Here is a 17,484-nt window from a genome sequence, read left to right on the forward strand (position 1 = left end):
TGGATACATTCCTCGACACATACACTCTCCCAAGACTAAACCAGGAAGAAGTTGAATCTCTGAATAGACCAATAACAGGCTCTGAAATTGTGGCAATAATCAATAGTTTACCAACCAAAAAGAGTCCAGGACCAGATGGATTCACAGCCGAATTCTACCAGAGGTACAAGGAGCAACTGGTACCATTCCTTCTGAAACTATTCCAATCAATAGAAAAAGAGGGAATCCTCCCTAACTCATTTTATGAGGCCAGCGTCATTCTGATACCAAAGCCTGGCAGAGACACAACCAAAAAAGAGAATTTTAGACCAATATCCTTGATGAACATTGATGCAAAAATCCTCAATAAAATACTGGCAAACCGAATCCAGCAGCACATCAAAAAGCTTATCCACCATGATCAAGTGGGCTTCATCCCTGGGATGCAAGGCTGGTTCAATATACGCAAATCAATAAATGTAATCCAGCATATAAACAGAGCCAAAGACAAAAACCACATGATTATCTCAATAGATGCAGAAAAAGCCTTTGACAAAATTCAACAACCCTTCATGCTAAAAACTCTCAATAAATTAGGTATTGATGGGACGTATTTCAGAATAATAAGAGCTATCTATGACAAACCCACAGCCAATATCATACTGAATGGGCAAAAACTGGAAGCATTCCCTTTGAAAACTGGCACAAGACAGGGATGCCCTCTCTCACCGCTCCTATTCAACATAGTGTTGGAAGTTCTGGCCAGGGCAATCAGGCAGGAGAAGGAAATAAAGGGTATTCAATTAGGAAAAGAGGAAGTCAAATTGTCCCTGTTTGCAGACGACATGATTGTTTATCTAGAAAACCCCATTGTCTCAGCCCAAAATCTCCTTAAGCTGATAAGCAACTTCAGCAAAGTCTCAGGATACAAAATCAATGTACAAAAATCACAAGCATTCTTATACACCAACAACAGACAAACAGAGAGCCAAATCATGAGTGAACTCCCATTCACAATTGCTTCAAAGAGAATAAAATACCTAGGAATCCAACTTACAAGGGATGTGAAGGACCTCTTCAAGGATAACTACAAACCACTGCTCAAGGAAATAAAAGAGGACACAAACAAATGGAAGAACATTCCATGCTCATGGGTAGGAAGAATCAATATCGTGAAAATGGCCATACTGCCCAAGGTAATTTACAGATTCAATGCCATCCCCATCAAGCTACCAATGACTTTCTTCACAGAATTGGAAAAAACTACTTTAAAGGAGTGTATCTTTTGTGACCATCAGAGTCTAATGCAGAAACAGCAGTCGTGTAACACTCCATTTCAGCTGGGAATGCTTGCATTGGTTTGACACTCACAGCAGTCATTATCACCTTTACTTTTCCCTTCAGATGGGACCCTATATTTGGAGGCCCCATGGAGAGAGAACCCCAGGAACCCTTGCTCGACCTTCCCAGATGGCCAGGTTGGGGACCTCCTCCAGCCAGGTCACACTCCAGGTGTTTTTCTAAATGTTGGGATGAAATCTCTTAGGGTGTGTTATCCCAGGATCTGCTCTTGTCAAAGCTGGTGGATTTTCAACCTGGAGCGAGCAGTCACAGTAACTTAAATGTGGAAATCTGTCAGAGCGTCCATGGGGCTGTGGCGCGATTGGTTTTGGCCTCCTGCCATTTCATTTACGAGGTACTTGTATTTGACAAACAGACCTCGTTTATGCACAGATATCAGCCTTCTTCCTGCCTGAGCATCAGGCACAAGACTGCGCCCTGACCCGGGTCCCGCATCTGTCACCCCCGTGGAGAGGGGCCGTTTCTCCCAAACACAAGCCTGTTCTTGTTCGCCTGGTAAAGGGGTTCTGAAGCGAGGGTGTTGTGGAGTCTTTGAGTGTCACACAGAAAAATGTCCCCACTCCTGCAGGGCTTCAGTGCAAGGTCACTGTGGGCAGACTCAGGTTCTCAGAGGACCCAGGAGAAGTAGGTAGCGGGCAGTCCCAAGTTCAACTGTGCTGCTTGAGGGTATGGCCTGCAGGAGGAGGGTTGGGGCTAGCTTATGGGGTGACAGAGGCAGCCATCTAGGAGAGGGGGGCATGGCTGACATGCTCAGGGCTTCCCAGGGTCCCTGAATTTAGAGGTCTCTTCCTCCCTTGCCTTCTGGTGCTTGGCTCAGGGACACCCCCGTCCTCCACCTGGGAAGCACGCGGGGCTCTCCACTAGCCTGGGCATGGGACGGGAGGGCTCATTAACCATCCTCCCTTCCTCCATCCCGGCCTGTTTATGGATTCCTGACTGAGTCCGCCAGGCGGCTTGAAGCGGTTGTGGACAGCTGGGCCGCTTGGCATTTTATGGTGAGTGGCGGCTTCCCAAGGCCGTAACTGTGTATGCCTGTGCGTGAGCGCCCAGGGACGTGCCTTCCCCCGCCAGGCCCTTCTGAGGGGTGCCCTCGCCGGGGGTGCCACCACCCTGGCTGGCAAGAGCAGGGACAGAAGGGTGGGCAAAGCAGGCAGGGACTGGGCGGCCGGCAGAGGCTCCATCCAGAGGAGAAGCCCCCTCATCCCATCCCACCCTAGACTGATGCTTTCATCATAATGACGCCTCCTGGGGAGACACCTTATTGCTCTTCACAGAAACAATCTCTACTGAGAGAAATTAATTGTTTTGTTGTTGATGGGAAAAGAAATAGAAGCAGCTATTTTTAAGTGTTCTCTCTAGCTGGGGGTGTTGGAATCGCAAGTCACAGGTGGCTGTCTCAAGAACCCATACCCTGATAGGGTAGTGGACCCCATGGGGTACAGCTGCCCTGGAGTGGGTACCTTCTGCCTGGGATTAGTTGGGGGGCTCCTGATGGCTTGAGGCGAGGCTGCCTCATTCTGGGCACACAGCTGGGATTAAGTCCCAGCTCCGTCACTAACTGTGTGATCCCTGTACCTCTGTTTCCTGATGGGGACAGTGATATGTTTTCTTACCGGATGTTCTGAAAATTAAATGAGATAATATGTGCTCAGTGTTTAGCTGGGAACAAAGTAGGTGCCCAGCAACTGGCTAACAGTAGGAGCTGGATGCACGAGAGGTTTTAGCAGTGGGTTGGCGCCGGACTTTTCTGTGGGTAAGGTCTAATTGGCCCCTGCCCTTCCGTGACCCTTGCTGTGCTGGTGCTGTGCCTATTAACCCAACCAGGGTGTGAGCCTTGAGTCGGTCAGTCTTGAGGCTCTGAGCAGCCTCCATACATCGGTTGTGGAGTGAGGATCCATCTTCACCCTTTGATATGCTCTGGCCCCACCTTGAGCTCAATCAGTGCGGGTGACCCTGAGCTCCCCGTCACACCAAGCACGGCACCAAACCCACTTCTGGAGCTGCTCCATAAACAGCGACCCCCCACACACAGGCGCATCCTAATGGGGGCCCCGGCAGCATATTTACTATTTACGGAGCATCTGGGAGATAACAACTTTTATGGGAGGGATTTTAATTAGTGCTGTGGCTAAATGCGGTGGAGTTAACATGGGTGGAATTGGCTGGTGCGCTGACTTCTGTGAGAGGCATCTGGCGGAGGGACGTGGCCGTATTTATCACCTGGTCCCTGCCACTAAAGGGGGTGGGAGTGGAGATAGTGCTGAGAATCCCAGGGAAGTCAAGGCCACCACCAGGGCAGCCAGGGCAGCCAGGGCGGGGCAGGGGCTGGGCAGGGCCCGCTCTGTGGCCGGGAGCTCTGTGTCGTCACACAGGGCCATGTACTTGGCTTCATGCTGTGCTCTTGTCATTTTGAAATGTTTAATAATTTAATCTTTGAGCTTCTGCTTGGTGAGTGAGGTCCGATGGGGCACCGGGGCATTGCACCAGCAGGGGAGGTGTGCCACACCGTGCCATCCCCTTTGCACCATGGTGACCCATGAGCACCACATTCTGGCGGACTCACCGTGCACGGGCATTCAGCGAGACTCGATGCGAAGGCAAGGCAAGCACGTGACATCCAGTACTACGTGAGGTGCTGACAGCCCCCAGGGGGCCATGACTTGCCTTTGTTTATATTTTATTTTTAATTTGTTTAATTTTTAACTTTTGTGGGTACATAGTAGGTGTATATATGTATGGGGTAATGAGATGTTCTGATATAGACATGCAATGTGAAATAGCACACCATGAAGAATGGGGTATCCATCCCTCAAACATTTATCCGTTGAGTTGCAAGCAACAGGATTTCCCTTTGAAACACAGCTTGCTTCGAATGCAGAGGGAAGGCACTGGTACCCTAAGAAACACAAGCAACCATAGTAGGTGTATATGTTTATGAGGTACACGAGATGTTTGGGTACAGACGTGCAATGTGAAATAGCAAAGCATGAAGAGTGTGGTATCCATCCCTCAAGCATTTATCCGTTGAGTTGCAAATAACATGATTTCACTTTGAACCAGAGCTTACTTCAAACACAGAGAGAAGACACTGGTACCCTAAGAAACACAAGCGACCAGGAAACCCAACCATATCCTTCTTGCCAGTGTTATGTCCCTAGAGTAGCCGATCCCTTACACTGGAAATGATGCTATGAGAGGAAGAGAAAGATGGGGCTCCCCACAGTCCTTCTTCCTCTCAGCCCTTCCTTGCCCATCCACAAACTGAAGGTAGAGGGTATGGGCAGAGTGTGTGTGCCTCAGGAAGTGAAATAAAAGCAGTTGTGTTCATTCTGTGCAGCCCTCCCACTGTTCTGAATGAAATACATATGAATGAATGAGCTAGAAAAAAGTTGTGTAATTTTGGTGATTCTGCTATGAGTTAAACACTTGTATATTTGTATTTAAAACTGGCATGGCACAATATAATGATGAACGTAAAACTCATGCTAATAATGTAGAGTTTTTATTTTTCTTTATTCAGAATGGCTTCAAATAGTAAGTTAAAAACACCATGACAAGTCTAGAGAAAGACTGGAAGAAAAAATAATGCTTTATATTTTAGCGCCTTTCCCAGCATTTCTCCCTTGCTTTTTGAACAAGGGGTTCTTACTTTTTTTTTTCTTGAGACAGGGTCTCACTCTATTACCCAGGCTGGAGTGCAACGGCGTGCTCTCAGCTCACTGCAACCTCCATCTCCTGGGGTTGAGAGATTCTCCTCCCTCAGCCACCTGAGTAGCTGGGACTACAGGTATGTGCCACCATGCCCAGATAATTTTTTATATTTTTAGTAGACACAGGGTTTTGCCATATTGCCCAGACTGGTCTTGAACTCTTGAGCTCATGCAGTCCACCTGCCTTGGCCTCCCAAAGTGCTAGGATTACAGGTGTGAGCCACTGCGGCCCGGCTGGGGTTCCTGCATTTTTGTTCATGGTGGGGTCTCATCTGTGATGCAGCTGTCCCTGGGTGTGGGACTCCAAGGGGCTTTGGCTTGAGGAGCTGTGAAAGTGTGAATCTTGCAGTGGCCAGGTGGGATAGGAGGTTGGTAGTAGAATAATAATCGCAGTCATAATAGCTGTCTCTGTTTGCATTTCCCGTGAGTCAATAATCGCAGTCATAATAGCTGCCTCTGTTTGCATTTCCCGTGAGTCAGGCACTGTCCTAAGCAAGTCACATGGGTTATCTCATTCCCTCCTGCAAACCCCACCAGGTACTTTGTTTATGCGCCCATTGGACAGATGAATACATTCAAGTCCAGAGAGGTTAAGTAGCACAGCCAAGGAGGTTCTCAGAGCCCAGCTGGAGTCCATAGCCAGCCAGCCTTCTTGGCCACCTTGTTTCTCTGCCACCCTCATTTTGCTCATTTTAGGGGATGGAAAACTGAGGCTCAGAAGAGCAGCCCAAAATCATGACTCGACAGGGTAGGGGCAGGCCTGGAACTCAGTCTCCAGCCCTGTGGCCACCAGGGCTGCTCCTCCCTAGGCCACCCTGCCTCACCCATGCTGGAAGCATTTTCCTTCTTCCTCTGAAAAGGCAGGCGTGTCACCATTCGTCACAGTGGGCTCCAGTATTCATGTTAGTAACCCACTGAGTGACTGTCTGCTCCACATTCCTTCTTGAGTGATGGCTCAGGACCTCAGCATAGCTCTCTAGACTCCCAACGCCCACCACACAAGGGCGCCAGCATTCAGAAACACGTATACGCCTGGACAGACGCACCCATAGCTGCTCCTGCACACAGACACACAGAAAGGCGCAGGCACATATGCATACACACACTTGTGCACAGACAAGCAAAAACAGGCATGCACAATGACAGTGCTCGGATGCGCAGACATGCACAGACTCGTGTACACACACACTCCTCAGACACACATGTGCAGGCCTGCACACAGACCTGTGCACATGGATATTTATGGGCACATGCCAAGGGTACACAGGCTCACACACGAGCTTTCACACACACATGTGCACACAGGCGGTCGGACATGCCCACGTGGACACACCACAGAATTGACTCAAGGCCACTTCAACATTGCCAGAAGTCCCAGCAACTCAGTCTCACAGAACTGGAACCATGGGTGTTGGCTTGTGGGGTCAAGGGGCTAAGGGGGTCATCACCTAAGGTTTGTTGGCACCTCTTCCACATGTCCTTGCAGGGATCCCTGTGCTGGAGGGATTGAGGTAGGAGAGAGGGAAGCATGGCAGAAAATGATCTTGGGGTCATGTGGAACCCCAAGTAAGGGTGGCCAATTTGTGGGCAAATGTTTGTTCTGTATTTAAGATACATGTGGGCTTAGAAATCACAAAGTGATAAGTGCCTGTGCTGCGTGCCAGCTTTGTCATCCACAGTCCCCTAAGAAGCTCCCCACTGGGTGGAAGGGGACACACAGTTGCAAAATGCTGGCAGGCATGACGTCACCAGAAATGCGGGTCAGAATGGAGAGAATGTGGGGCCAGAAGGGGTCAGGGAAGGCTTCCTGGAGGGGGAGGGCTTGGTCAGAGCACAACAAGGCTCACCGATGCTGTTCTGGGCTTTTCCTTTCTCTACCTCCCTTCATAATAACCAGCTCACTTGGAGCCAATACACACAGGGAACTCGTTATGACAACCTCTGAGGCCGTCCAGGGCCTTTACTCCTCCCACTACCCTCCTCTCCCTGCCCACCACCTGTAGGTAGGTCTCATTTCACCTCTGTCATCCAGATTTAGAAACTGAGGCTAAGAACGTCTCCAGTCTGAGGTCTCAGGTGGGAGAAGGAGTGGCAGGACCCCAATCCAGGACCATCTGCTTTCCAGGCCTGCCTCTCAGCCACCTCAGTTTTCCCACCGTGTGGTTGGAGGCGTTGCTTGGGCCCCCACCTAGAGAAATGGGCGCAGAGCTGGCTCTGCATTTGAAAGGAGTCCCAAGGCCCTGCCCCACACGCGCTAGCTGTGCCACCTTGACGTGTGGGTCCTGTGTCTGGTCTCAGAGCCCTCGTCTGTAAAATGGGTGTGAGAAATGGATAAAATGAAGCAGGCAACGTGCCTTGCACAGGGACTGGCCCAGGATGCGTGTCTAGTAAGTGTCAGTGCCACCATCACTATTGCTGTGATCGATCGCCTGTCACTGCTGGCTCGTCCGGGGTTAGGACATAATCGGAAAATGAGAATTCCAAGTCGGATCAGGAGGAGTGGAAGGAGGAGGCTGTGACTGTGAGCCCAGTGAGCACCTGATTGCAGGGGTCAGATTAGGGCAGAGGCTCACTGTGATCCTGTTGGCCTCCCAAGGTCAGCCTCGCCCCTATGGTGCCAGGCCCATTCTTTCCTGCTCCCCGTTTCCACAGCTCTCTAGGTGTAACCCAGCCCTGGCTCGGAGCGACATGGGCTGTCACTGTGTGACCTTCTGCATGTCTCCCATCCTCTCTGAATACCAGGTTTGTCCTCTGTGCAATGAGAATAACGTCCACCTTGAGGTGGTTTCTGGAGTTCAGATGAAAGAAAGCGTGGCAGGGCTTTGAAAAGGGCTACACTGTATACCCCTGCTATGCAGGAGGACACGGGGTGCTGAGGAGGGAAGTGGTTATGGCGCCCCTCCCTGTCCCTGCTCCTCCCCGGGGTCCCTGCCCCTCCACATCTCAGGAGAGCTCAGATGCTTTGCCAGCCCCGGGAGGGTGGCATTCTGCACCCAGTAGTTTCCATGGTGAAAATCCCAGTTCCTGCCATTTTGCAACCCATCTGACCTAATTTATACTTTATCATTTTTGGCAATTTTGTGACTTGGGTTGGGGAGTGGGCGGTGTTGAGAGCACTGGCTCTGAGTCATCCTCATTCTCCTCCGGCTGAAATTCAAGTCATGATCTACCACATGCACACACGTGTGCACATGGGCAGGCAGGGAGGCCGGGAGGGGAAAGTGGAGAAGCCCCACCATGGCAGGCATTTGTTTTTCTTTCAATCTTTATATTCTTGCTGAATATACGTGTGGAGAGAGTTGTGAATTTTTATCTCTGACCTTTGTAGGCACAAAATCATCCCATTATCATATACCTGTCAGAAGACAGGAGAGAATCAGACCGTATTCTTTGCCTTTTATGTATCAAAAAAAGAAAGAGAAAGTTATTAGCGTTTTTCCAATCCAGGGATTCAAAAAAACCAGCTACTTCTCGGCCAAGCTCCCTGAAGCAGAGGTTGCTCTCTGCTGGCCTCGTCACCTGCTCCTGGCCCAGCCCAGCCAAGCAGCAGGACTCACAGCTCTGGCCCATCCCCTATCTCTGGGCTTCCTCAGAGAGGGTGTCCTACAGTGGTCAGCATGCCCGCGTGGGGACAGGAGCAGCTTCTCTGAACACATGTCCCCAGTTTCTCAATGCCCCTGCAGAGATGGAACCTTCCAGGTGAAAGCTCTCTTTCCCCTCAGAGTGATACTAAGTAGCAATTTAAAAACACCATGACAAGCCCAGAGAAAGAGCAGAAGGCAGGAGAATTCTTTAGTTTTTATTTTTTAGAGACAGGGTCTCGCCCTGTCACCCAGGCTAGGGTGCAGTAGCGTGATCACAGCTCACTGCAGCCTCAAATTCCTGGGCTCAAGTGATCCTCCCACTTCAGCCTCCCATGTAGCTGGGACCACAGGAAATGTGCAGCCATGCCCAGCTAATTTTTGTATTTTTTGTAGAGATGCGGTCTTGCTATGTTGCCCAGGCTAGTCTCGAACTCCTGGGCTCAAGCGATCCTCCAGCCTTGGCCTCCCAAAGTGGTGGGATTACCAGTGTGAGCCACTGGACCCAGCTAGGAAAATACTTATTTCAGTGGCTTTAATGGCATTTCTCCCTTGCTTTTTGAACAAGGGGTCCCACGTTTTCATTCTTCATTGAGTCTCATCTGTGATGCAGCTGTCCCTGAGTGTGGGATCCCAGTGGGCTTTGGCTCAGGGATTTGTGAAAGTGTGGCTCTTGCAATGGGCACGTGGGATAGGAGGGTGGTAATAGAATAATGATCACAGTCATAATAGCTGCCTCTGTTCTTGTTTCCCATGAGCCAGGCACTGTCCTAAGCAAGTCATGTGGGTTATCTCATTTACAAACCTCACCAGGCAGGTTCCTTTATATGCCCATTTGACAGACGAATACATTTACTTCCAGAGTGGTTAAATAGCATGGCTGAGAAGCAGCTGAGCCAGTATTCAGGGCCTGGAATCTCAAATTTCTCATCCGTCAAGTGGACATAAAAATGATATTTGCTTGGGAGGCCGACGTGGGTGGATCACTTGAGGTCAGGAGTTTGAGACCAGCCTGGCCAACACAGTGAAACCTCGTCTCTACTAAAAATACAAAAAAATTAGCTGGGCGTGGTGGCAGCCACCTGTAGTCCCAGCTTCTCAGGTGGCTGAGGCAGGAGAATCGCTTGAACCTGGGAGGCGGAGGTTGCAGTGAGCCAAGATTGTGCCACTGCACTCCAGCCTGGGTGACAGAGCAAGACTCCTTCTCAAAAACAAAAAACAAACAAACAAAAAAACAAAAAATGATATTCATTTTACAGAAGTGCTATGAAAAAGGGCTGAAATATGTTTGCACAGTGTCAGGTACATGGTTAGTGCTCAGGGCGTGTCATCATCGCCAACACCCTCATTATTATCACTGGAATCATTACTGCGGCTGCTACTCTGGCAGCCCATTCATTCCTTCAGGCCACACGAAAGGAGAGTGTGCTAGGTGCCAGGCCCTGTCACGGCACTGAGGACAGAGCAGGAACACAGCACAAGCCCTCCTTGTACAGGTCTGTTTGTACAGGTCTGTCTGTGCTCGCCAGGGATTTACTTCAGCCCTGGTACATGCCCCCAGCTAACGCTTCCACCTTACAGAGGGAAGAGAAATGTTCCTGCAAGCATCCTTCCAGTGCCTGCCAGGCATTCTCCCAGCAACTCTGCCTTGATCCCCAAATCCCAGTCCATTGCTGATCGGCCTCAGACTCTGTCCTGCTTGGTGGGGCCTCTGGCTGTGGTCTGCCCTAGGTGGCCTGGGCTATCCCCGGGTGGGCTGGGGAAGGCCAGAGGGGACTGCTGAGATGATGGACATGTTCTTTGCAGAGCACGCAGCATCAGGGTCTGAATCTGGAGAACCTGGGAGCTGGGACTGGCCTTTAGCACACTCAGACTTGGCAGGTGGATAGAGCAAGAGGAGAAGGTTCTGGGAACCCAGTAAAGGCTGGGGGTGAGGTAGAACTCTCACCTCCAGAGGCACCTCCTCAGAAGGTCTGGGGTGGCCACAGTAAGTCCTGCCCCCTCTCATGCTGCCTGCATCTCCCCTCAATGGGATCCTGTCTTTCCTGCCTCCCCCATAAGCATCCCCAGCCCTGAAGTCCCTGAGGCCTGCAGGCTGGCACATCTCTGCTCACCCACCCCAGCCCAAGCCCTGAGACAGGACTCTGCAGAGCCTTCATGTGGGGCAGCAATCAGCCTCATCTCTGACGGATGTACTTTAGCCTGGAAGCCTCTATGCATCCTGTTTCACAGACAAGCATCTAACCTCAAAAAAGGCAGGGATTTGGGTGATGCTGACGATAAAGTCTAATTTTACCTCAATAATGCAAGTGGCTCTGTAATTCCATATAATTATATTAACTGGAAAAGCGAGGCCCGCCTTCGATAGACAGGACTCGATTATCTTTGCAGGCATGGAGTATGCTCTTTAATTCCCTTTGCCCGGGAAGGTCTGCCTTGCAGCTTTAAATCCAAATAACGACAGCATGCTGTTGGCATTCCTACGACCACTTATTTGTTGAAGCTTTTACATAAATAAAAAGGGGTGCTAAATTGGGAGGGCATGCCCTTAAAGGTGAAGTCTACAGGTCTCAGAGCTGCTGCAGACGACGGGGGCTGAAGGAGCTGCGGGATGTCCGGGGAGTTTCCCTAAGCTGGGCTTTTTCATCATCTGCCTGACATTTTAACTCTCCTTCCTTCTCCTCTCAGTTCCTCTGAACCGTAGAGCCCACATGCAAATACAACAGATAATGGGCGGCTTGGGTAATTTAGGGTGAACAGTAAGTAAATAATGAGAAACTTGCATTTTGTAACATCTGTCATCTTTCTTAAGTTTCATTTATTTTACGCCTCCCCCCCAATTAAAAAAAAAAGACCCCCATAAATACCGCAGCGCCTTTGGTTTAGAGATGGTTTGAATGGGGAGAACAGCTCGAATGCACTGTTTTTTCCTCCAAGTAAGGTACTATAAAACTGTTTATAAAATGAAACTAATGAGATTTGGAGCACACTGTTACCTGATATTAAGCTGTTTTGATGAGTGAGGCAAATTGCTGTGGTTAACAAATGTAAAACCATCACTTTTATTGATACAGGTTTGTGTATGTGTGAAATTAATCAAAGCGTGGGCGATGATGAACAGTTTCTGTAGAATTCTGTCAAAGGTTAAGAGCTAGTTATTTTTAAGAATGACATGAATCTAGCAGAGACAGTGATTGCCTAAATGACCATTGTAATTACCAATTACTTCTTGAAGCAGAGAATATATTCACGGCGTGCAGTCCTCTAAATACAGAAAGGCATTAGCCCATTTACGTACTAATGCACATAATTTAGCTCCTGAAAAGGGCAGATGGGAGCACAATGAAAGATATAATAGATACCGCCTAATATCATTCCCTAAGAATATTGGATTCATCAAAGATGAATATTACTTTATGTCAGATTGTTTTTTATAAACCAGTCAAAATATATTTCATCTCATTTTTGCACGCGGTATCAGGGTGACAATAGCAACATCACCTTTGTCATCAAAATCTGGCCAGCTGTGGGACTAGGCAGACAGGGTGCCTGATGGGGGGCGTTTCAGCCACCCTTTGTAAGCCGGTGTGTAACTCACAGGCAGGATAACTTCCAGGCAGGGGTGATTAATTTTATTTCCTTTGGAGTCGATGTCAGTGGAAGCAAGAGAGACACAGGTTCTCAGACAGGAGGATGGGAGCAGGGAGGTCTGAGTCGACCTCCTTTCGGAAAATGCATCATCTGAAATGTCTTCCGGAAGGCGACCTCCTCCCCAGCCCTGGGTTCCTCTCCTCAGGTGTTGAAAATCCAATATCCAGGTATATGGAGAAGGAGGAGGGAGCCCTTTCTGTCTGCACACTGATCTTAATGCCATATTTGGATTGATATAATGATAGCAGAGATCTTGTTTCCCAATGTTGCAGAATCAATGTAATAACAGTAACAGAAATATTATTTAGTTAGTGCAGTTCTGCTGGCATAATGTAGTCACGCTTTCAGCAAAATGATGGAAAATATAAACATTTAATCAGCCCTTATTCACAAAAAAGCCTAAAAATTAATCATGTTTAAATTCTGTGTCTTCGGGAAGCAATTCAGATGCTAAGCAATTCAGATTTTTTTTAATTTTTATTTTTCTTGCCTTTTTTTTTTTTTTGGATGCGCAGTCACAGATAACCTAGTGCTGCTCTCAATTACAGTCTCCTTGGGAGAGGCTGAACTGCCTGGCGCCTGCCAAGAGATGGTGACTCCAAGCTGTGGATTTGGTCTGCGCCCCTCCGAGTGGGTTTCCAGCATGCGTCTGATTCTCTCCTTCATGTCACCAATCAAGGGCAGGAGGTTACACAATACCCTGTTAAAACAGCCAGCCACCTGCTCCCCGTCCTGCTGAGCCAGGCAGTGGGGCACGCGGGTGTCACAGAGAACGTCAGCGCCGCCTGAATACCTACTACGCGCCGGGCCCTGTGCCAAGCGAGGACTCGGCCCTCCTCTCAATGTTTCCCCAAGGTCATGACCAGGATTGCTTCGTCTTGAGTCCTGAGTCCCTCAGAACATATGGGGGTTAGAAGGAGAAAGGAGAGAAAAGGAGGAGCATCAGAGAGGGAGGATGAAAGCGGGGAGAAAAGAGAAAGAGGGGAGAAGAGTGGAGTACCAGATCCAAGGTCAAGCTTCAGGGCCAGGTGACCTTGAGAATCACTTCCCCTTTCCTGGCTAGGATTCCTGTAACATGTTAACTGGGGATGGTGATTCCTGCCAAATGGCCCACGCTGGGGCTGGGAGAGGCCCCAGGGAGCCAGTGCAGGCAACTGGGCTTCACATGAAACCCCTGCATGGCAGGCCCCTCCTTCTGCTCTGGGCCCAGCTCATAACGTTCTCCTTTGAGGGGATTGTGTGCCTGCCCAGCAAAAACGGGAGCTTCCGTTTCATTCTCTGCTTGTACTGTGTGGCCTTCCCTGTGGGGTGTTTTCTTTTGGTCTTCTCCTTAGACCAGTGGTTCCCAGGCAACTGGGGCCAACTTTACACTTCCATCCTCTGGGACATTTGGCAATGTCTGGAGACACGTTTAGTTGTCATAAGTGGCAGGTGCTCCTGGCATGCAGTGGGTAGAGGCCAGGAATGCTGAACATCTGGCTTAAAATGTCGGCGGTACTGGAGCTGAGAAATGCTCATCTGGTTATGATGGCATGGCCAGCAGGTGCCAGGACTGTGCCCTGACTTTGCTCATCATTCGTCCCCCAGCACCCAGCACACCTCCACCTGGTACACAGCAGTCAGGGAATAAATAACAGTTGAATGAATGAGGGAATGGGGTTCAGAGGGTGCTGGCAGGGCTCCTATTGGGTGAGAAGTCGGTCTCCTGCCTGCCTTGAGACTCCCTGGAAGGGACCTGGACCTGCTGGTCTCTCTTGAGCCAAGCCCATCTCTCTGTTCCCAGCCACATAATGGGCTCCTAACATTCAGTGGGCTCCCAGCACCCCAGCAGCCTCAACTTGCTGGAGGATGGCCGCAGTGCTCTAGACCTGGACTTGGCCTGGCCCGGAGGACACCTGCAGCCTGGGCAGGAACACCTACCCATCCAGGTGCCCTGGGATGCTTGTTCTGCAGGTAATGTCCGGATTAGGCTCGGACCTTTGGACAGACCACTTTCAGTTGGTGGTGGACACCTTCCCCTGGTGGACGCTGGCCGCTTGGCAATGGAAGGAGAAATGCGAATACTTTCCCTGTGGCCCAACCTGGGCAGCCTGTCCCAGGAAGGATGCTAGAGAGGCTCTCTATACCTGTCCAAGACTTTCCCAGCGACCCTACTCCCTTGTGTAGAGCAATGGAAGCCTACTTGGGGGACAGGAGTACCCTTGTTTTCAGACCCTGCAGGTCCCCGAGAAGGGTCTGTGTCATCCTTAAGCTGAAGCTGGACCCATTTCTGGCCCATCACTCTGTCTAGTGAGACCTGAGACCGATGGACACAGCAGGGCCAGGGTCTCCTGAGGTAGAGTGTATGTTGGGGGAGAGCCAGGGGGAGGAAGGGTGAGTGGGAGATCACTGCTGTGGTTTGAATATGTCCCCTCCAAAATTCACATGTTGGAAACTCAATCTCCAATGCAACAGTGTGGGGAGGTGGGGCCTTTTGGTAGGTGTTTATGTCAGGAGGGCTCTGCCCTTCTGAATGGATTAATGCCATTATAAAAGGGTTTAGGCCAGGTGCAGTGGCTCATGCCTGTAATCCCAGCACTTTGGGAGGCCAAGGTGGGTGGATCACGTGAGGTCAGGAGTTTGAGATCAGCCTGACCAACATGGCAAAACCCCGTCTCTACCAAAAATACAAAATTAACCAGCCATGGTGGTGAGCACCTATAATCCCAGCTACTTGGGGGGCTGAGGCAGGAGAATTGCTTGAACCCAGGAGGTAGAGGTTGCAGTGAGCCGAGATTGCGCCACTGCACTCCAGCCTGGGCAACAAGATGGAACTCCATGTCAAAAAAAAAAAGTGTTTGGTGGAGAGAATCTGGGAATCTGGCCTCTTTTTGCCCTTCTGCCTTCACCACGTGAGGACATAGTGGTCCTCTCCACTGGAGGAGACAGTGTTCAATGTCCCATCGTGGCAGCAGAAAGCAGCCCTCAGCAGATACCAAACCTGTGGATGCCTTGGACTTCCCAGCCTCAAGAACAGTGAGAAGTAAATCTCTGTTCTTTATAAATCACCCAGTCTCAGAGACTTGATGACAGCAGCATGAACAGACTAACACAGTCATGTTACTGGTGCTTCAGGCTCTTGGGGAGGGGAGTCTGGGTAGGCCTGACAGAGGAGTGGGGGGACATGGGGAATGGGGGGCAGCAGGGGTAAGGCCCATAGACTCCATTGGGTGTTTCTCTTTATGGCCTTGTCCCCACTCCTCTCATCACCGAGGATCCCTGGACACCCACCAGGAGCTTCCCTCTTCCCTGGGGTCCAGGCAGCAGCTCCCAGCATGGGCAGTGTTTCCTGGACAGATGCCACTTTTTTTTTTTTTTTTTTGAGAGGGAGTCTCTGTCTAGGCTGGAGTGCAGTAGCACAATATTGGCACACTGCAACCTCTGCCTCCTGGGTTCAAGCGATTCTCCCGCCGGCCAGTTTTGCATGTCTAGGGGCCCCTTGCAGAGAAGGGCAGGGGCAGCACAGGGAACCCTAGACTGGGGCCTGAAGATGAGGCCTTGAGTCTGTCATCTCCCTTCATGCACTGAACAGTGCAGCCACCCAGGGCACGGCTCTTGGCCGTGATTTGGGGAGCGTGACAAGACAAGGGCGTCAGGACTTGGCCACCTGGAAGGGCTTTGCTTTTGGATATGCAGGGAATTCCCTGGGGCAGGGCAGAATGCTACCCCTCAGCTCTCCCTCATGGGAGACCCTGGCAATCCCGAGGGAGAAGGCGCTCAGCACCTAATTTACTTCCTCTAACTGCCCTGAAGGCCTAGAGCAACAGTTAAGAATCACATTACCGCCTTTTATTGTCTCTAATTTTTACCCAAATGATTTCTGCTGCACCAGCTTAAACAGGCTCTCATTTCCCTTCCTGCTGCTGTCATGCTCTGGGTGTGTGCATTTCTGAAGGGGTCAGCCTCTGAATGCTCTTCTCCCTCAATGCAAGATGGGCCTTCTGTCCTCCTCTCCCCTCCCTGGGTGGGAGTAGGGGCACCAGGGCACCAGGGCTTACTCCTGGGAGGGAGCCCTGTGTCTATCCAGCAACTGTTTGTGCATGTGTGTGGGGGGACCCTGGAAAGTCTGCAGGGTGTGTCTGCCCATGCGCCCCCTCCCTCCTCTGAACCTCAGCCCTCTGCCCTGGATCTGAGTCTAGGGAAGCCAGACCTATCAAGCTGTGTGACAGTGCCCTTTAACCAGACTCCTTTGGTGGTAAGTGACAGAAACCCAGCTGAAACTGAATGCAGAAAAAAGGCCGGGTGCGGTGGCATATGCCTGTAATCCCAGCACTTTGGGAGGCTGAGGCAGGCAGATCACCTGAGGTCAGGAGATGGAGACCAGCCTGGCCAACATGGTGAAACCCCATCTCTGCTAAAAAAAATACAAAAGTTAGCCAGGCTTGGTGGCGGATGCCTGTAATCCCAGCTACATGGGAGGCTGAGGCAGGAGAATCGCTTGAACCCGAGAGGCAGAGGTTGCAGTGAGCCAAGATGGCACCTGGGCAACAAGAGTGAAGCTCCATCTCAGAAAAAAAGGCGGGGGGTTGCAGGTACTCTTTTAGTACTCATGGAGCTGAGCCTGGGAATAGACTTTGCACCATGCACGGGTGGATCAGAGATATCTCGGGAATCCCTCTCCCCCACTTTTCAGCTCTGCTGTGCTGGGCACAGACTTGCCTCCTAGGCAGCAAAGACAGTGCAGCCAGGGATGCCCCTTAGTTGAGCAGGAAACCTGCTTCCCACAGGGCCCAAGAATGATCCTGACATCTCATTGGTCAGGCTCTGGTCACAGGCCCACCACTGAGTCAATTGCTGTGCTGGGGACGATGCCTGGGGTAAATAGTCAGGGCTGGGCCATGTTCCTCTCCTGGTAGCCCATGGAGTGTAGATGGGTTTGGGCTTAACCAACCCACATGGAAAGGAGCAACTTCCTAATGGGACACCTAGGAGCTGTGACCACAGTTAGGAACAGATCTCTGCTGCTAACCTTGGAGGTCCCTTCCCTCTTTCCTGCCTCAGCCTCCATCTCTATGTCCAGGGCTGGGTGAGAGAATTGGCTCTGCAAGTGAAACCATCCCCACATGGTTGACAAGAATTACAAGCCAGGTTCTGGGCAGAAATATAATTAAGCATCAGTCAGGCTGCCCTCTGGCACACTTCATTGTTGCTAAAATTCATGT

At 50.5% G+C, this 17,484-nt stretch overlaps 1 annotated feature.

Moving 5' to 3' along the window:
- Positions 14,420-15,380: an enhancer, noted in NCBI's record as "H3K27ac-H3K4me1 hESC enhancer chr19:30648008-30648968 (GRCh37/hg19 assembly coordinates)". NCBI's record gives its function as "activates a minimal SCP1, AML or CMV promoter by ChIP-STARR-seq in primed H9 embryonic stem cells {active_cell/tissue: H9 hESC(primed)}" and the evidence as "EXISTENCE:reporter gene assay evidence [ECO:0000049][PMID:30033119]".

The sequence above is a fragment of the Homo sapiens genome, chromosome 19 (genome assembly GCF_000001405.40).
Source record: "Homo sapiens chromosome 19, GRCh38.p14 Primary Assembly".
Taxonomy (NCBI): domain Eukaryota; kingdom Metazoa; phylum Chordata; class Mammalia; order Primates; family Hominidae; genus Homo; species Homo sapiens.